General features: G+C 35.6%; 1 protein-coding gene across 9 annotated transcripts in view, besides 1 other annotated feature; it reads right to left on the minus strand.

Moving 5' to 3' along the window:
- Window positions 1-21,457, minus strand: part of FAM3C (FAM3 metabolism regulating signaling molecule C) — a 47,519-nt gene that overhangs the window by 10,585 nt on the left and 15,477 nt on the right. For all 9 annotated transcript variants that reach the window (XM_047419775.1, NM_001040020.2, NM_014888.3 and 6 more), the window contains 6 exons: window positions 19,448-19,552; window positions 12,648-12,677; window positions 11,838-11,961; window positions 4,668-4,726; window positions 3,435-3,485; window positions 581-665 (listed from right to left, as the gene is read on the minus strand). In XM_047419775.1, coding sequence (XP_047275731.1) covers window positions 581-665; window positions 3,435-3,485; window positions 4,668-4,726; window positions 11,838-11,961; window positions 12,648-12,677; window positions 19,448-19,552 — 454 coding nt within the window. The remainder of the gene's footprint in view (window positions 1-580; window positions 666-3,434; window positions 3,486-4,667; window positions 4,727-11,837; window positions 11,962-12,647; window positions 12,678-19,447; window positions 19,553-21,457) is intronic.
- Window positions 13,466-13,515: an enhancer, noted in NCBI's record as "active region_26562". NCBI's record gives its function as "activates an Ori minimal core promoter by ATAC-STARR-seq in GM12878 lymphoblastoid cells {active_cell/tissue: GM12878}" and the evidence as "EXISTENCE:reporter gene assay evidence [ECO:0000049][PMID:35858748]".

Below are 21,457 nucleotides of genomic sequence, written 5' to 3' on the forward strand. Positions count from 1 at the left end.
ATGTGTCTTAAGTCATCTGGAATAGAAACTAAAATATCATCAATGTTTACACTGGGTAGTGAGATGGACTGGAACTTGGTCTCTTTGCGCTTTTCTATAATTTTCCAAATTTTTACAACATATACTATTTTAAGAAAAAGTTATAAAACTACTATATATTAAAATTATTTAAAATATAGCACACCTGTATCTTTGACAATTAACTCCATTTCTTGAAATTTACCCTAATGACATAATAATAGGGAAACTTTAAAGGTGAGCCCATAACTGCTGATGAACCATAAAAATGCTATTGAAGAATATTAATGCTAGGAAAAACAATTTCAGAATGTTAAAAAACAAAACATAAAAGTATAAAAAATGTTACATATGATGTGATTCTAATTTCATGACAATATATGTGTGATAAACATTTACATATAAAACCAGGAAGGAGGCAAAGTAAAAACAAAAATTGTTAGTTGTGTTTACCTGGTAGTTTGATTACTTTGCTCTATGTTACAGATTTTTTTTTAATGAAAATGTATTGCTTTTATAATTACAAATTATAGTTCCAAAAAGTTCTGTAAAGTTTACATACTTGGTTGCTCCATCATCGTATGTTCCCATTAAAACTATTGTTCCATCTTGTATGGCCTTCAGAAACTCAATAAATGGTGCCACATCTGAAGAAAAAGAAAGGGTTTAGGGTTTTAAAAAATGACTGAATAAGCATCACGATAATCTCTGAAAGTAGTATTATAAAACATGAAGTATCTGTAAAGCAATAATTTCCAATGTAAAGTAATCCAAAAGACAGACAAATCTCATAAAGAGTTTAAAAACTGTTAAATTTGTCCCTTAACATAATCCCACTATCAACTTACAATTTCCCATTCCTGATTTATCCTGTGTCTTTCGTATTGATATTCCTGGGGCTAAGTGAAAAAAATCATAGCAAAGTAAAGCATGACTTACGAAGTAAGAAATTCAGAGATCTCTCAGATTTGAATAATTGGGATCCTGAAAACCTTATTCTGGGGTCCATGCATAAGCTTAAGGAGGCATGGGAGGTGTGTGGACTCCTTAAGTGTATGTAAAATTGTATGGGCTGAGCACAGTGACTCACATCTGTAATCCCAGCACCTTGGGAGGTCAGGGCTGGGGGATGGCTTGAGCCCAGGAGCTTGAAACCAGCCTGGGCAATATAGTGAGACCTCATCTCAACAAAAAAATTTAAAAATTAGCCGAGCTTGGTGGCACATGCCTGTAGTCCTAGCTACTCAGGAAGTTGAGGCAGGAGAACTGCTTTGAGGCCAGGAGGTGGAGGTTGCGGTGAGCTGAGATCACACCACTGCACTCTAGCCTGGTTGACACAGCAAGACCCTGTCTCAAAAACAAAACAAAAAAACAAAAACGAAACGAAAAAAAGCATAACAATGTTTGTATGGGTACTTTACTAGAAAGAGGATACACAGCTTTTCTCCGATTCTCAAAGATATCTGTAATTTTTAGAAAATCTAAAAATACATATACACACAGATTTAAAGGCTATTTTAGGTATATCATTTGCTATAAACTGGGAGAAGGAATATGTTAGGTGATCACTAAAAGCCAAACTAATTGTAGCAAATATTACAGTCATTACTCATTTGATCTACCAAATCAAAATCCACAAGGACTTCAAAATAAACCACTTCAATGACTATAAACTGTTGATGCCAGATACATAGGTCAGATTCTAAAAACCACTTGACATCTTGAACTCTTTACAATGTCTGGGTTCCTTATAGCTCTGAAGTCTAATTCTACTCCAAAACTGGGTTACTTCAAATGTACTCAGTTTCTTTCCACAGCAAAGATGCCAAAGATTTTCGATAACTGATTATATTTCATAATAATAGCATTTTCAATTCAAAAAGATATAACAAGGCAGCTAACAAACTACTTCCATTTAAATGCAAAAGTGGCAATAAACTGCAACAATTTCCTAACTAGAAGAATGCTGCTAGCGGTAATTAATCTACCTGTGACAAGAGAAGTAAGGAATACCAGAGCTCCTGGTCACATGACTGATTTCAACAACAGCTTTGTAAGACTCTTTCTATCAATAAATTTTGGCAGGACCAATTTATGCCTTTAGAATCTAAAATTGATGGTCCCATTTTAAGTTTATACAGCTTTGACAGCTATGCAATGTTGTCCTAACATTATTTAATAACAAAATAATACACGGCATCTTTTGTTTTTTTGAGACGGAGTCTGGCTCTGTCGCCCAGGCTGGAGTGCAGTGGCAAGATCTCGGCTCACCGCAACTTCTGCCTCCCCGGTTCAAGGGATTCTCCTGCTTCGGCCTCCCAAGGAGTAGCTGGAACTAAAGGTGCATGCCACCATGCCCGGCTAATTTTTGTATTTTTAGTAGAGACGGGGTTTCGCTGTGTTAGCCAGGATGGTCTCCATCTCCTGACGTCGTGATCTGCCTGCCTCGGCCTCCCGAAGTGCTGGGATTACAGGCGTGAGCCACCACGTCCGGCTACATACCATCTTATTACAAGCTGAAGATATGTTGGAAAAGCTAAATTATCTGAGAACTCTTAACATGAATTTCAGGAAGCCTAATAGCTGTTGGCTTCTAGGGAATATATAAATGGAATGGGGAGGTGCAGGGGAGATCCTCATACTGATCAATCTCCCAAATTAAAGAATCAAAAGATAAACCAGTGTTGGCCTCCCTTCAAACTGGAGGAAAAAAACCCATTCTTCCGGGCAGCGTTCTTCTTTGGGGTGCCAGTCCCTTGCCTCTGCGTGCTGGTAACTTCTTCCCACTCCTTGTGGGACTTCCAAATATGGAAGGGGAAAATATCTGTGGATTGCTTTACAAGAAAGAAAATTCTATTTCTTCCCTCAAATATTCATCTACCTAAAAAATTAGCTGCAAGTCAGAGGGTAGAACTGTGATGAATAATAGGACTGCTGTTCTAAAACTGATAGTTTATCTTGTCTTTCTAATGCTCCTAATGCTCCTAATGATTTATTTTTGAGACTAAAAAATCACATTTAAAAAAAAATCAATTCCTATCACTTAGGAATGCTTACATTGGTTATTCTGGTCTTCAAATTACTTTTTTTTTTTAAATTTTAGACACACTTAAAGGAGCCCAAAACTTTTGAATTGGTTGTCCTGTAGAAAACAAGATGACTTTTTTTAAAAAAATCTCAATTTTGATATTACTATCTTCAATTATACACCACAAAAATTTTTTTCTAAGAAGAAGAAAGTATATAAAACATGAATGATAACTTAAATACAGCTGGACATTTAGTGAACAGAAAGTAAGGGAAACAAAATGAACTAACGCAAATAGCATCATCATTCTCTCATTAATGGGCTACATTGTATTGAGGTGATTAAGTCAGTGCCAGCAAAAGAACACAGTCATGTTATTTATGCTTACCTCCTCCCCACATGTCAAAATATTTAGTGTCTAATACTTCTCCTGTTTTTCCTAAAAGAGATTAAATTCATATCAAATTATGCATCTGAAATATATCATACACTGTAAGACCAATAATCTCATCCAATGATTGATGTGAATTCATTAGCAGAGAAGATGTGAATTCATTAGCATTAGAGAGATGTGAATTCATCTCAAAGAATTACTTTGAGAACTTAAAATCTGAATCATATGCACCTGAAATATATTTTTAAAGGGTAATTTCTTAATAGAACTTTCTCATTAATCTTTTAAGCCGAAGGATAAATAGAAGTTCATTACTGACTGTAGACCATTCCAATTCGGTTAGATATATTTCATCGTTGTTTCCATATTCTCTTATTTTAAAATTACTCAAAAGTAAACCTTTTACAAAAAAGAAGTATCTCCTTGAATCAGATGCCATTTTCTACATTAAATCAGTTTTTACAATAAAACTTACATTAACTTGCCCTATAAAATGTATTTTTTGCTATTAATGAAATAGACAGATGTTGAACCTTTTACCTAAGGAAATGAAGAAAGCAGAAGAACAAAAATTTACCTCTTGCTGTGAAAGTAGTAAAATATATTTTTCTACACTATGAAACTACAGTGGTTTCTAACCATCCTATATATCTTATAACCATCCTACATAGCTTTATGGAATACTTATTGTACCAGAACAGAGAGGATCAATATGCAGTTAGGCCTCACTTTATGGTTTTATGTTTTCAGATTTGATTTTGAAGGAAAATTTGAGATGTTCAGGATTCAATCAACTTATTCATACTAATTAAGCTATCAGAAGAATGTGGCTGATAATGAAAAATTACAATACATTCTTATTCTTTGTTCCTCCCCCTACACCATCCTTTGTCATTTCATACGCCTTTAATCCTGTCAACCTATCTTCCTATTATGTTAGGATTCCAAAATTTGAAGCAAGATTTTATCAATGTGATGTTAGACTGCTTGGTTTCTGACAATCTCATGGAAGCTCTTGCATAGCAAGTTAGGATACTTTCAAGAAACACGCTATAAATTCTTAGACACCAAGTCTCCACCCATAGATTTTTTGCAGGGCAGGGATGGGACAGAGGGCTTTATCATCAAGAGCAGTACTTTCTAACCTGATCCTCTGATAGTGCATTTTACTTTGGGACAGAAAAATACCCAATGATTACATCCATAAGCTAAAATAATTGTTCTTACCATTTGCCAAGGCAACATTGATCCCTCTTCCAACATTATTCTTAACACCACTCATTAAACTGAAGGGGGAGAAATTGAAATAAATTTAGAATTAAATATTGTACAATAACATATCAGAAAAATAAAGTCTTGCAAAAAAAGTTAGGAATATTATACATATTTTCAATTGTTCAGTGCTGCGGAGGAAATTAAAAAGATCTCTACTAAGTCAGAGAAGACAGTCTAATACTGAATAATTTTAAAGCAATGTCCTTAAATAATATTTCACAAATAGAAATACATATTAAAAAATATTAGGCCTGAAATAATAGACCATTTTTGTGCTACACTGCTTCAGATTATTCTTAAAACATGGACATTAAGCATATGTTCTGCATCATTCTTAAGGTATCAAACAAAAGATAATCTCTTTTCTGCTCTCTTCAATACCAGCGTGACATGAAACAGAAGCGAGATACTACCCCCATCATTTAAATCTAAAAGCAAACAGAGTGGGGGAGCACTCTTTCATGAATGTTTTACCTAATTGTGAACATTCTCCTAGTGATTATCACTGTAAAGTTCGTCTACACTAAGAAATATTGCACTCATGAAATCACTGCATTGAATGACAGTCACTTACGTGGTGACTACCTGAAATAATCGACTTCCATGGGCAGCTCACAGACCACTATATAAAGACAATGACACTGTAAAATGGAAGGTACCAGTGACAAATTTGCTGGTTATCAGTTCAGTTTGTTCAATTGCTCAAATTAGAATTATTAAACTAAAATTGTGAGTTCTTTTAACTCAAAACTTCAAGGTAATAGTAATACTCCCAGTGGTGTGCTGTTAACTATTTAACAACTGCTCTGTGTTTAGGAGAGAGAGGCAATATGCACATATGTGACTACACGTGCACACACTTGTCCTTATATAGACAGAATTATATATACACATAGGTACACAATTTATTATAAACTACTAAAAGATGTATAGCACACAATTTCATAAATAAAATCTACGATGTACTTTATTATAAATCTCAGTCGATTCTCACAGAGTATTTTAGTTGATTTTTCAAACAATTCACATCTGCAGCTGAACTATGGTTGCAATTGATGAATGAGCTCAGTTCTAACAAACGTTGGATCTATGTTAATAAGATAAAATAAAGAAAAACAAATAATGGAGATTCATGTTCAAATTCCACTTGCCTGTCAATGATGACTGAATCAGATAATAAGTTTTAAATATTGGAAGACTACTTCCTACATTTTTGGTGCTATCCACCATATAATAGATATAGATAGGACATATTTTTCAATTTAATCTGTGTAATATTTTCTCCCTCACCTCAAGTCTAGAACTTGAGTCTGCAAACTTTTTGTGTAAAGAGAGAAAGCACTAAAGAAGCTATAGGGAGATACATTCAAAAACACTATAAATAAATCAAAAGAAACACTTTTTTAAAATGTTTATGTAACTCATAGGAAGGCAGGAAAATGAGAAAATGAAAACAAATAATAAAATAGACTTAAACCCTCATATATTAATAATTATAATAAATGAAAATAGTTTCAACATACCAAATAAAGACAGAAATTGGCAAAGTGAATTAAAACAGGAACCAACTACACACTGTCTACAAGAAACTCACTTTAAATATAATTATATAGGCAGTGGAAAGTAAAAGGGTAGAAAGAGACATATCATGCAAACATTAATCAAAAGAGAAATTACAATTCAATTATAAAGAAACAACCCAATTTATCAATGGGCAAAGGGTTTCAACAGACATTTCTCCACAGAAGATATACAAATGGCCAATAAGCACACAAAAACATGCTAGACACCACTAATCATCAGGGAAATGCAAATGAGATTTCACTTCACATCTACTAGGCTGGCTATAATCAGTAAGTCAGATAATAACAAGTGTTGGCAAGGATGTGGAGAAATTGGAACCTTCATACACTGCTGGCGGAAATGCAAACAGATGCAGCCACTTTGGAAAACTATCTGGCAGTTCCTCAAATAATTAAACAGAGTTACCACCTAAAACAAAATCCACTCCCTGGGAGTATAAAGAAATCAAAACATATGTCCACATAAAATGTGTACATAAATGTTTCTGTAAATGTTACTCATTATAGTTAAAAAGTGGAAACAACTCAAATGTCTACCAACTAATGAATGAGTAAACAAAATGTGGTATATCCATACAATGGAATATCGTTCAGACATAAAAGGAATGAAGTTCTGATACATGATATAACATGGAGGAAGCCTGAAAACATTATGGTAAGAAGCCAATCACAAAAGACCAAATATTATATACCACTTATATGAACTGTCCAAAATAGGCAAATCTATAAAGACAGAAAGGAAACTAATGGTTAACTTAGGGTTTGGGGGTGGGGAAGTGGGGCAGGACAAGAAAGGCATAGAAGGATATTAGCTAAGGGGTACAGGGTTTCTTTTTGAGGTATAAAAATTTTCTAAAATTGACTGTGGCAGAGATTGCATATATCTGTGAATATAATAAACCACTGACTGTATAATATAAATGAGCAAAATGGACGGCATGTGAATTATATCTCAAAGCTGTTTAAAAGTACTAGCTTGGAGCATATACATTTAAAAGGTTCTATGCTTTACTACTTAACCATTGGCTCAGCTGCATCAAAGAGAAGGAAGTTTCAAAATGTACTGTTCTGTTTCTTTCAGAAATACATTCAATAAGTAAACTCCATCATTAAGAAGTAACTGCTGTGATTAACGGGTTAAGTGCCAGAGTGACTTTTCCAAGTAAAGATCATCAAGGAGTATGATGTGGCATTTTACAGACTGAAATCTATCATAAAGCAAAGAAATAAAGGTAACAAAGAAGCACAATGACATAGGCTTCCCACAAGAGGGCAGCAGCTTATCAATTTTTAAAAACTGAAATTCAAACAGAAAATCTCTAACAAATAAAAAATCCACTGAGATTTAAAATGTATAAAGGTTAGTAACCCTTACTAACACAAGTTGAAATATTTTCTTTTATCCTTCATGAATATAAGGTACCCCTTCCCACATCTCTAGGCAAAATTCTAAAGGAAATGATTATATCATCTGTAGAAATACTCAATATATCCAAATATAGATTTGTTTCAAATAGCTACTTCATGTCCTAGTTATTAGTTATTATCTCTTAAGATGGTTAGTTTAAAGCAGGGCTTGGCAAACTATAGCTCACGAGCCAAATCCTGCCAACTGGTTTTTTGATTTGTTTTACTACTCATGAGCTTAGAATAGTTTTTACATTTTTAAATGGTTACATTTTAAATGATTATGTAAGTACATACATAATAACCTTGATTTTACCTCTTTGCCCTCATAGCCAAAAACATTGATCCCTTGTTAAAAAAAAATCCCTCAAAATAATCTCATATTCTTGCAGCAAACATTACCATTAAAATCAAAAGTAATGAATTATTCCTAATATCAAATTCATACAAATTGAAATCAAATGAATATATGCCTTAGATGAAAATTATAATTGGAACATAAGTTAGTTCTATGGGTGCTCTAACGAGAAAGAAAAAACCTGTAATCCCAGCACTTTGGGAGGCTGAGGTGGGAAGACTGCTTGAACCCAAGACTTCAAGACCACCTTGGGCAACACAATGGGACCCCATTTCCACAAAAATAGAAAAATTAGCTGCATGTGGTGGTATGCGCCTGTAGTCCCAGCTACTCAGGAGGTGGAGGTGGGAAGATCGCTTGAGTCCAGGCATTCAAAGTTGCAGTGACCTAAAATTGCGTCACTGTACTCCAGCCTGGGCAACAGAATGAGACCCTGTCTCTAGGTAAAAAAGAAAAGAAAAAAGAAAAAGTAAAGGAAAAAAAAAAGCTGCAATTACTGTTTTTCCTGAGACCTGAGGTTCATACCTGCGATTTTCTAACTAATGAGACATTTAAAACACATCTTTATCAGCATAATGTATTTTGACTTCAACTACTTATGACCACCATCCTAATTGTAATTATCACCTGTCTGTATCAGAGTTTCTCAAACCCAGCCTCTCATTTTAAGAGCCTGATAATTCTTGTGGATGAGCTGACCTATGCACTGAAAGATGTTTAACAGCATCTCTGGCCTCTACAAGGAGTACCTCCAAAGCTATGACAACCCAAAATTACAATGTTCCCTGGAAAGCAAAACTGCCCCCATTGAGACACACTGATCCAAGATTAGTAGTCTCCAAAGTGAGTTACATGTACTCAGAGCAGGTGCTGTGAAAAGACTAAATTCTCTGCTTGTGTTATTTTTATTATCTACTTATAGATTTTAGTGAATGTATAAGCAATAAAGTCTGTTACCAACAGGGAGGCAGTATGAAAGTGCTGTGGCAGTAACTGGCAATGGCCTTCCAATTGTCCTCTCTATTCCACTTCCTTAATTATTTTACACAGCAACCAGATAACTTTTTTCAATATAAATAAAATCACGACATGCCAGAATTTGAAATCCTTCCACAAGTTCTCAATACACTCAGAAAAAAGTCTCAACCCTTTACCTGCGTGGCCTACAAGTTCCTATGCAGCCTGGCCCTAATTCACTTCTCTCCAGAGCTATCCAATCTTAGGGCCTTCGAGCAGGCTTCTTCCTCCTGCTCGAAGACCAAGGATGGTCTTCCTTTCTATCCCTCAGATCTCAGAATACACATCACTGTCTTAGAAACTGTTCCATAACCCTCAATCTAAAAGTTAGACACCTCTTTCCATCCACTCTCGCCAGTACTCATCACACCCTGCTGCCCTGCAGGGCTGGTATCACAATTTGTTTGTTCATTTTTTGTTGTTGTTGTTGTTTTTTTTTTTTTTTTTTTTTGAGACAAAGTCTCGCTCTGCCGCCCACCCAGGCTGCAGTGCAGTGGTGCGATCTTGGCCCACTGCAACCTCCATCTCCTGGGTTCAAGAGATTCTCGTGCCTCAGCCTCCCAAGTAGCTAGGATTACAGGCCCATGTGCCACCACGCCCGGCTAACTTTTGTATTTTAGTAAAGACGGGGTTTCACCATGTTGGCCAGGCTGGTCTCAGACTCCTGACCTCAGGTGATCCACCCGCTTCGACCTCCCAAAGTGCTGGGATTACAGGCATGAGCCACCACGCCCAGCCTGGTGTCACAATTTATAAGTACGTATTTTTTTTAAGCATCTGTCACCCCTACTAAACTGTAAGTTCCATGACAGGAGGGATTATGCTCAAAAATACTTGCTGAACAGGTGAATAAATGACTCTCAGAAAACTTAAGACTCTTTCTTTGGACTTTAACCTGAGGCTTGGGTATAAAATCCCACCAAGTATTTAATCTCTCATGGTAATGGCAGAATGGTTCCTGAAATAAGGATGGATAGGTGGCCTGCCTCATTTAATGGTTAAAGAAACTGAAACACAAATGCTACATGACACGCCCACCATGCTAGAAGCAAATTCTCTGGCTCTAAGCCCAGTATGTATTTTACCAAGCTCCACTGTCTATGCACTGTTCGCTTTCTGACCTTAGATCTTTAGCTGTTCAACATTAGGCTGAGGGATAGAGAACAGCTTCTAAGACAGTGATGTGTACTCTGAGAACCAAAGGTCAAGAAGGAAGACAGCCAAGTGAAGAGTGAGGAAAGACCATCCTAGACAGAAGAGTATACTCTAAGGCCCCAAGATCAGGAAGATCTGGAGAGAAGTGAATAAGGGTCAGGATGTGGGTAAACAGTTGAGCTTTTTTTCTGAGTGTGTTTTGTTGTTTACGGTTTTAATCTGTGAATAAAAAACCTGCTAGTAAACAGTCTGATCTCTTCTTCTCTGAACTAAAATTCACATGCATCAAGGGGGCAGAATAGATGTCCAAAATCATCCATGGGTTAGGTATTCTAAAAGAACTTTGTTCCTGTGATTTAGAATCAAATTTGGGGTCTATTTAACCAAACAAGATAAAGAGTGGAAATGAGAATGTTTTCAAAAACCTACAAACTTCTAAAATGCAAGTGCCTTATTATGCATCAGTAAAACAGGACTATTCTAATGAGAAATCAGAAGACAAATGGATTAACAATAAATCATCATTAGAATACGGGAAAATAAAGGAAATCAGTACAGACCTTAATGATCATCTAGCTCAAGCCCTTAATTTTACAAGAAAAGTGTTGTCCCATGAAGCTCAATAAACTTCTTACAGCTAACTGCCTGCAAAAGAGGCTAGGATAAAAATTTAAGAGCTTCAATATTAAAAAGAAGAGGCACATAAACAGCTAGGAAAAGCTGCCTAGGTCTCCTCTTTGCTATAAAATTATCTCTTTATTCTATATAATTCGTGACAAATTTATTATTTTATATTAAATTTAAATAAGCCCCCATGTCTAGTTTTCTAGGCAATAGCATATTAAAAGCAACCAACTAAAAGTAGGATTTGCAATTTCAGCAGCAGGAACTTGCGAGCAACAGTTGACACTGAGGTAGGATATCAAAAATCCTAAAAACCATCCTTTAGAAAGCATCTCAACATAGGAAACCATTCAGCTTAGAGGCAAGCAGTTTGTGCTGCAATGGAACTGAGGTTATCACTGGATCATTTCACACTTCAACAAGTAGCACTCAAATATTTTAAATGAAAGACGTTGGATTTCATTTAAAATAAAGAGAACACATTCATTGTCCAGGGCAATGTTGCAAATAGGATTTCTGCCACGATGAAAATGCTCTCTCTGCTGTTCCATTTGGTGACCATGAACCACATGTGGCCACTGAACACCTGAACTGCGGTGACAGATACCAAGGAACTGAACTTTTTAGTTAATTTAAGTGAATTAACTTTCTTCCTAATATTTAAGGATCAAAATTAAATAGCCACATGTGTTCTGTTGCTAGCAAATGGGACAGTGCAGATCTAGAGAATTTACTCAGAGGAAATCTCTTATCTCTATAAAGCCGAATAAGTGTTACGTTCTTAGTCACTCTCTAATATAAAATTTAAGAACTTTAAGGTCCCTTGAATTCATGAGAAAAAAACTACATAACAAAAATGGAAATCACTTTCCATTAATAAAGTATACCGAACACATTTTCAAAATATCCATTAAACTCAGGTTCAATTGGCTGCAATTTAATAGCACACCTTATCGTCTCAAGTCAACAAAGACTTACACATTATCTTCCAGGCAGATTTTGGGTCCCACCACGTTGGCTGCTCCACTTGCCATTTTAAAAGCAAAATGCTTCTCAGGGCAAGCTTTTGAGATCCCACACTTATATCTGGGAGGCTTTGTAGCTTTGGGGGAGAAAACATGATGTCTTTTTTTAGAAAACAAGTTAACAGACTTTACCTCACTTTACTTCAAATCTCAAACCACAAAGAGCATTAAGAAAAACATCAAGATACACGTATCTTAAAATACAAGCTAATTTGTTCCCCTGAGGGTTTCAAAGAACCTCAAAAAATTTTTTTAAAAAAAAACAGCAACAAAGAAACCCACAACAGACACCAGATCTTCCTAGGAAACAAACTAATAATGGATGCAAATGAGTCAAGTAATATGATCTGCATTAGGGCAAATATATTTTATCTAACTATGAGTTTATTTTTAAATTTTAGGATGTGGGGGGTTCTGAATGTTACTTTGCACTTCTAGTCCATATATGCACAAAAAATCGTCACCTCCAGGATAATTAAAAAAGGCCTAATGTTCCATTGACTACCTTGCCCATGTACACTCTTAACTCCTTCTCACACCAATTTCTGTACTTATAATAACGGAGCTAAAAAACACAAAATATCCATCATGAATAATTGCCAAAAATATTTGGGCTGTCCAATCAAATAGCATCCTCATAACTTTAAAAAGCAATTTCTAAAGCAGTTTTTCCTCATACTGAACTACTGACACTTTGAATATAAGCTCTCATATGCCTAAGGCAGAATAAATCATACATAAAATATTGAGATGAAATACTTACAACGTGCAGCTGTGTCCAATGCTGATCTTGCTGAAAAAAAAAAATTACTTTTGTTAGAAGGAATGAGTCTATTGGCAAGTATCCACTTTTAAAATATATTTAGGTCCACAAAAATAAGTGTTCAAATAATGATTCAGTATACAATAAAACATGAATATCACTTAAGAAAAAGTGAGAAAGTAACTTCACACTGTACATTCATTATAAACTATTAAATAATTATGGAGGATAGTATTTTACTACTGATAAAACATTTTATTTTTCCCTTACCATTTTGTTTTGAATTTTAGTTACTATATATTTAAATTTCAATCAGGAAGTTACTCTACAAACTTACCTTTCAATGTTTATAAATATAAATTTGGTGAATATGATGGTGTTTAAAAGTTGTTGCTGCTGTATGGTGTTGTACAGATACGCAAAGAAAGCCCCAGAGAATATACATGAATCTATCTTAGTGGTGAGGTTAGGAGATTGCGAGGGCCAGGGAGGGGGATGAGGAAGATCATTACTAAAAGATTTACAATTTATCAGTTCAAGGAATCCATGAGGTCAAATCTTAATTTGAATGTAGTAGTTCTCAACCTGACCATCTATCATAATTATAGTAGGGCTTTTTAAAAGCACTAACATCTGATCCCAGCCCAGGAGATTATAACTCAGATCATCAGAGTATTGTGGACAGCCATTTCCTGATTTGACTAATAAGTATGCAGTGTGATAAATGTTAACCAGCTGTCTTGCTATAAATAGTCACACAGTTTTTAGTTCTGTACTATTTTAGATAATTGTGAACTTCCTGTAGGTCCAATACTCCAACTAGTAAGCTGAAAGTTAAAAGATTGTATTGAAATGTTTAAAAAGAGGAAAATGACCAAGTAAATAAAAGCTCATTAACTCAATAGAACACTCAGTAGAATATTATGCACCATTAAAGCCATAAAGGTAATATAATAACATTGAAAAAGCTTAATGCCCAGAACAAAGCAGAAAAGAAACCTTATCTACACTTTACTGGGATATAATTTTGGGAAAATCAGTTTTTTAAGTATTTTAAGTACTTAAAGTCAGGATTTTAACTACTTAAAATCAGGATTTTAAGTAAATAACATCACCTCCATTTAATTTGTGTAACAGTAAGGGGAGTAGATACTTTAAGGTGAAGAAACTCCTGTGAAAGACTTTTCTTTCCAGAAGAAAGCTCATTTTTATCCAATACACATCAAAATCAAAAGCCCTGTACTAAGTCTGCAATTCTGAAAACATTAGCACCTGGTGGCCAAACAGGTACATTAGTTTTCATAAACAGCTGTCCAAGTATAGAATACAGGTACAACATACAAACACCAAAATCCCTCCTCTCCTACAACTATTTTCCCCTCAAACTACACTGATAGCTTCAATGCTTAATTTCTTTCTGCATATACACTTCATTTCATGGAACAATAATAAACATTTGTTATTGCATTTCATCAATGAATGTCCTTCAGTAAGTCGGGCTAATGAATCAGAACTATTTTGCACTTTAGTTGTTAATAATGTCTCAAGTAATTTATGTATATACTATATACCAATGGTTTAAATCTGAAAAGGTAAAAATAAATAAATTCAATAGAACATTAAGTATTTATGGCCGGGTGCAGTGGCTCACGCCTGTAATCCCAGCACTTTGAGAGGCTGAGGCGGGTGGATCATGAGGTCAGGAGATCGAGACCATCCTGGCTAACACGGTGAAACCCCATCTCTACTACAAATACAAAAAAAAAAAATTAGCCGGGCGTGGTGGTGGGCAGGGAGAATGGCGTGAACCCGCGAGGTGGAGCTTGTGGTGAGCCGAGATTGTGCCACTGCTCTCCAGCCTGGGCGACAGAGCAAGACTCCGTCTCAAAAAAAAAAAAGAAAAAAAAAAAGAACATTAAGTACTTATTGCAGCAATATAGACAAAAATAATTTGGACTGTGTTCAGTTCACTTACTAGCTAAGTATTCAAACTGAAAACAACACTACATTACACCACAATGCTGAATAAGATTGGTGAATTGTATCCATGTTGATGTCCTGATTGTGATAGTGTATTATAGTTTTGCAAGATATTACCAATGGGAGAAACTGAGTAAACAGTATGCACCATCTCTCTGTATATTCAAATGGATTTGTAAAAAACAATACAATTATCTCAAAATAAAGTTTTATAAAAAATTGTTTTTAAAAATTCATAATCGACATTGGTAATTTCAACTACTAATTGTAGGCAAAATTTTCATTCTTCCTTTCTAGAAATGTGTTTTATTTTTCTAAAATAATACCATATAATAAATATAAAGCTACATAATTTATAGAAATTGTCAAGTAAGTTTAAAAAATGGAAAACGAATCACCAAAAGAACTATTTAATCTTATGGGTCCTTAAGATAGTGATTATAGCAAGAATCCTCCTACTGGATTAAATATGTTAACCTTTCATATACTAAGATGTTAAACAAATGACGAAGATAACCATATATCCATCTTCGTTAAGATAGTCTGAAATGAGAATTAAAATAAAACCACACAATTAAATTTTGGCCAATTCAACAGATTGGCAACCAGTAAGGTTACAAAGTACTACACTTCAGTTTTGACATCAAAATAACCATCTGCCCTCATAATGTCTAAATCAAATAGCTAAAATGCACACAAAAACACTTTGCAGGTTCTTAACATCAGGAAAAATCAAGAAATAAAAAGTAGGAGAATAAAGTAACTCAACGTTTGTTCATAGCTGACTACCAGTGATATTCCAACTAATACAGCTTTATGTGAATCCCACTTTGGAAATACTCTTCCTTTCCATGTAGAAATCCTAATTCTCTGTTACCTACATTTGTTTTCACTCAATCAGCATTTACTGATTGCAGCACCCAGTGCTAGATGCTGGGTGAAGCACCAAAATAGCGCCTTTAAGACTCACTCTTGGGTGAAGGGGGACAGACACAGGAAAAAGAGGAAAAAAAGAAAAAAAATTATATAATGCAAGGCAGATTAAAATCAGTGCCAAATTGAAATATAAGTACTATGCAATCAGAACAAATGTTCAGAAAAAGGAGCAATACATTCTTAAAGAGGGAGGTTCAAACACAATTTCTTCCAAAGAAGGGGAATTTATGCAAAGTTCTAAAAAATGAGAAAGATGTGCAGGGTGAGGAACCAGGACGAGCAAAGGTCAGGGTTGAAAGGACAGGAGGGGATTTGAAGCTGCAGACTGTGTGCAGACTGGCACAAGAGTGTGACCCATGCAGGAAGGAGGGGTGAAGACCAGCTGAGAAAGGCAGGCTGGGGGATTTGGGTGCCACCCTAAGTAAGGAGTTTGGACTTTATCCTCTAGTAACTGGAAATACTAAAGATTGTTGAGTTTTAAGAAAATGGCTCTGAAAGTGGTGAGATAGGCAGATATCAGAGATGAGAAGAGAAAGGAACATCACTATGATGTTCATAAAAACAGTACAGATTAGAGATGAAGATCCAAACTAGGGCAAAGATGGGGGACAAAGGGTGAGGACAGACATGACTGGTATCACTGGAGAGGAACCATCAGCTGCATGTGCACAGTGACTATACCACACTGTAGCTTCACCCAGCCTTCTCTTCAATCTTCTTTCTAAAAACAGTGGGTCTTTTCCCATGTAACTTCTATTTGTTCCAATGGTCCCACTGCCTCCCTTCTCCCAAACATCCTCCTTTCCTTGCTGGTTCAGTCTCTTCGCATTCATTTGTCCTTCACTGAACTTTCATCCAAGGCCTATAGACAAGTGAAAGCCTATTACTTTAAAAAAGAAAAATATGTGCAACTTGCTTTTGAGTCAAGTTACCATCTCATAAGCTGCTTCTCCTACCATCAACGTGTCTTAGAAGAATTAGCTATGCACATTGCTTCCAGAGCAACATGGAACGAGTCCTCTATGCCTTCAATATGGTTTCCACCCCATCATTCAACTGAAACCAGCTGTGTTCTGAAAGGCCACCAGGCTGGCTATCAGGTAGTAATAGAAGTACACAGACCAGAACAAGTAAAGTAAAATCTCACTATACTTTGCAGTAACTACTTTTATGCTGGAACCTGGATACTTCATTTTAGGATGTGTGCTGAAAAACAAACAAGTTTAGGAGGAAAATAACCAGTTTATCAAGAGAAATGGCTGAAAGGGAGGATTCTGTTACTGGAAAAGATGAAAACTTGTAAAGGAAGGTCTGACGGACAACGACTACAATTTAACTGAGGAATCACTGATGAAGAAGGGGGCTCTAGCAGGCAGAAACAAGATCAGTGAACTGAAATTACTTGGGAGTACAAAAGGCAGAATTCAGTGCAGTACAGGTTTAAGTATCCCTTATCCAAAATGCTTAGGACCAGAAGTATTTTGGATGTGGGATTTTTTCAGATTTTAGAATATTTGTATTACACTTACCAGCTGAGCATCTCTAATCCGAAAATCTGAAATCTAAAATGCTCCAAAGAGCATTTTCTTTTGAGCATCATGTCGATGTTCAAAAAGTTTCAGATTTTGGAGCATTTCAGATTTTGAATTTTCTGATTAGGGATGTTCAACCTGTACAAGAAAGTACTTTTATGTAGTCACTGTAAGAAAAGTCACCTGAAAAGGTTTATGCCAAAACTGAAGTCTACATATCAGAATTGTCCAAAGCCTTGATACCCAGTATGCAGTCCATGGACAGGGATCTCAGCCTCACCTTGGAGCTGTCAGAAATGCAGAATCTCAGGCCCCACTCCAGACACTAACTCAGAAATCTACGTTTACTAAGATTCTCTGGAGATTCTTTCGGCATTAAAGTTTGAGAAACACTGGAATAACAGTCTTGAGATTAAATGTGAAACGGAGTGATATGGTTTGGCTGTGTCCCCACCAAATCTCATCTTGAAATGTAGTCCCATAATCCCTATGTGTCATGGGAGGGACCTAGTGGGAAGTAATTGAATCCTGGGGGCAATTACCTCCATGCTGTTCTCATGATAGTGAGTTCTCACAAGATCTGATGGTTTTATAAGGGACTTTCCCCTCGCTTCACTCTGCACTTCTCCTTTCTGCCACCAAGAATAACATGTTTGCTACCCTTCTGCCATGATTGTAAGTTTCCTGAGGCCTCCCCAGCCCTGCAGAACTGTCAGACAATTAAACCTCTTTCTTTTATAAATTACCCAGTCTGGCAAATTTCTTCACAGCAGCATGAGAACCTAATATGGAAACTGAATTAAGCCTTGGGGATTTTTCCTTTCAAACATGAATTTATGGAAAGCAAAACTCAGTAGTCCAGCAATCTCAGTTCTTTCATTTGACTTCTGCCCACTAGACCAAAATATGGTTTCTAGGGTTTATAGTATCACTTTTTATGCTTATTTAATATTATAAACAACAATTTAGTCATAGTTTACTCGATGTAAGTACAAGGATCTATGAAGAATCTCATCATTTCTCTAGCTTCAATAATAAAAGTGTACAAAAATAGTTTCCCGAAGAGATTCAGAATTATAGTCAGGTGCTGCCTAATGACATTTCAGTCAACAACAGACCATATATAGAGTGGTAGTGCCATCAGATTATAGTACTATGTTTTTACTGTACCTTTTCCAAGTTTAGATACATAAATACTTATCATTGTGTTCAACTGCTTACAGAATTCAGTACAGTAACATGCTATACAGGTTTGTAGCCTAGGAGGAACAGGCTATACAATGTAGCCGAGGTGTGTGGTAGGCTATACCATCTAGATTTGTGTAAGTACACTCTATGATGTTCTCACAATGACAAAAATCACCGAATGATGCATTTTTCAGAATGTATCCCCATCATTAGGTGACACATGACTGTGATCTTATATAGCGCCTTGGTTAAATAATTGTTTTCCACTTTAATGTGTCAAAATTAAATTCTATTATTCAGTCTTATAGCGGTATATTTATAGAAAAGAAATGCATACTTCACAATTATTTGAGATTCAATAAGATATTCATATACAATCATCTACAATAGCACTATGTATAACTGGTTCATATGAAAACATTTCAAATGTTATTTTATGAACGTAAGGATTCTGTTAAAAAACTGGGTTAAGGTACCTTATAATGGTACATTTACAGTATGGCAACATTAAATGAGTGGGTTAGAAAAAAAAAATGCCACAGAGGGAAAATAAGGATAAGAAAGCACCATGGATTTCTTTCTTTTTTTTTAAGAGATGAGGTTTTACTGTCACCCAGGCTGGAGTGCAGTATGGCATGATCACAGCTCACCACAGCCTGGAACTCCTGGGCTCCAGTGATCCTCCCACCTCGGCCTCCTGAGTAGCTGGAATTACAGGTGCAAGCCACCACAGCCAGCTGCAAGACGGATTTCTATGGCTGGTATCTAAAATGCATTACCGTGACTCCTAATCATATGGCTAACTGAGGGCTAGATTTGGCTTCAAGTTTTCTAGCAGCCAACTTAAACAGGAAAACAATTTAAGCCTGGAGGTATTTTATGTTTTAGAATGTGCACTTAGAATGCCATGATTAATGCCCCTAAAAATGTATAAAATAGACTCATTACATATGTTCAAAATGTTGAATAGAAGATTCATGTTTTATACTAAATTAATTCCAAAATATCTAATTATATACTGTAAAATATTCTAACAAATCATATTTATGGATATATAATAATCACATTTCGTTTTCTAGCACTGAGTGACTCAGTGCTGATAACTGATAAAACTTTAGGCCACATCAAAAATAAGATTTAAGAAAGGAAAAAAATAAAACTTACCAAATAGATTTCCTAAACTTGCATCCATTTTTATTTCAAATACTTGAGAAATAACATAAAATGTCAGTAAAAACACTGCCACAGCTACCACCAACTTTGCAGCACCTAAAAGGCAGAAGTATTTCAGCATAACTTTGTAAGCCCACAGAACTTTTATTTTGCATTTCTATGAAAAATGTTTATAAATTTTTTAAGATCAATACATTTCTACTTTGTATCTATTAGATCTTAATTTTACATGAGATACATAAAAATTATACAAACAATTCATCAAGATAAAGAATTTTCCTGATCAAAGAATTCTCAGATTATCTAGCTATCCAAAGGACTGCTTGAACCATCTGCCTAGTTTTATATGCAAAAAAATTACCTATTAGTTGCTGACAACAAAAAAGTGTCATGACTAATGGAACACCACCACCAAGTTTGTTGAATGGCAGATTCCTTATCCTTCATAAATATAAGGAGCAATACTAGATAGGATTTTTCAAAAACAGTGGAACTTCTGGGGATGCTAAGGCCACAATGTCCACTAAGCGAGGAATTCTCAAGTGACATGTTACAGATTTATTGTCCTATCACTAACCAACACATCTCCTGGAGCTACATAAGCCCTCCTGGTGTGGCGATCAACAAAGCCTTCCTCTTCATACTTAATACCTTAGTACCTTAAGACAGGCCTTCTCCATTCCTGCAGGATATAATTTGGTACCTATCACATATGCTTCATAACACAGTTACATGGAAAGCTCCAAGTGCGCAGACTCTTCAATGAACTGATGATGCTCAGAGAGCTACTGCTTCTCACAGCCTACTCATTTCTGTATAGAAACACTCTACTGATAACTACATGGGGAGCGGGACAGGGAGTATGTAGAAAATCTCTGCATCTTCCTCTCAAATTAGCTGTGAACCTAAAACTGCTTTAAAATAATAAAGTCTTAAAAAATCCGAAAGAAACACTATTAATGTAGAAATGAAAGAGCAATGAGGAAGTCTAACTATAATACTAATCAATCCCTGCCTCCCTTTTCCATTTCCTACCTTGTCCCCTCCAAAATCTGCTTCCTATTTTCAAGAGCAACTTACAAGTTGCCTACATTTTTAGTGCATAAGAGAGCAAAATTCTGTTAGGCTTTGAACTCTTCTCCCCAGGATCTAGCAAAGTGCACTGTATACACTGATACTATCAACAACTGTTTGCTAAGTAGATAAATGGTAACAGGTGGCATAGTCCTTCTTGATCATTTAAGACTAAGACCAAGAGCTCAAAAATTACATGTCACATGATGGTCTTACCATCTTATTTTCTAGCAATCATAGGCACATGCAACCAGAGATAACTTTTCCCTGTCCTGTAAAACAGTCATATGAAAACTTCATTGTTCAAAACTGAAAAATTAAAATATCAAGACGATAACACAAACATTCTAAATTCTATACCAAGCTAAATGTAAGCCTACATTAAAAAAAGCTATATACAGCAGCATGGATGAAGCTGGAGGCCATTACACTAAGCAAACTAACACAGGAACAGAAAACCAAATAGTGCATGTTCTCATTCATAAGCAAAAGCTAAACACTGAGAAGGGAACATATAAACATAAAGAAGGGAAAAACAGACTCTGGGGCCTACTTGAGGGTGGAGGGTGGGAAGAGAATGAGGATCAAAAAACTACCTATCAGGTACTATGCTTACTACCTGGATGATGAAATAATCTGTACACCAAGCCCCTGTGACACTCAATTTATTTTACCTAGATAACGAACCTGTACATGTACCCTTGAGCCTAAAAGTTTTAAAAAAGCTATATACAAACATTTTATATATATATATATATATATATGACACTCACATATACCGTTTACTTAGTGTCTTCTGTAGAACTAAATGCTTTATAAGTATAATCTCATTTGCATAACTTTGCAAGGCATTATTTTCCTTTTACAAATAAGGAAAACAGGGCTAAAATTTTACATCATTTGCCTAAGGTCACATAACTAGTCAGC

This window comes from Homo sapiens, chromosome 7 (genome assembly GCF_000001405.40).
Source record: "Homo sapiens chromosome 7, GRCh38.p14 Primary Assembly".
NCBI lineage: Eukaryota > Metazoa > Chordata > Mammalia > Primates > Hominidae > Homo > Homo sapiens.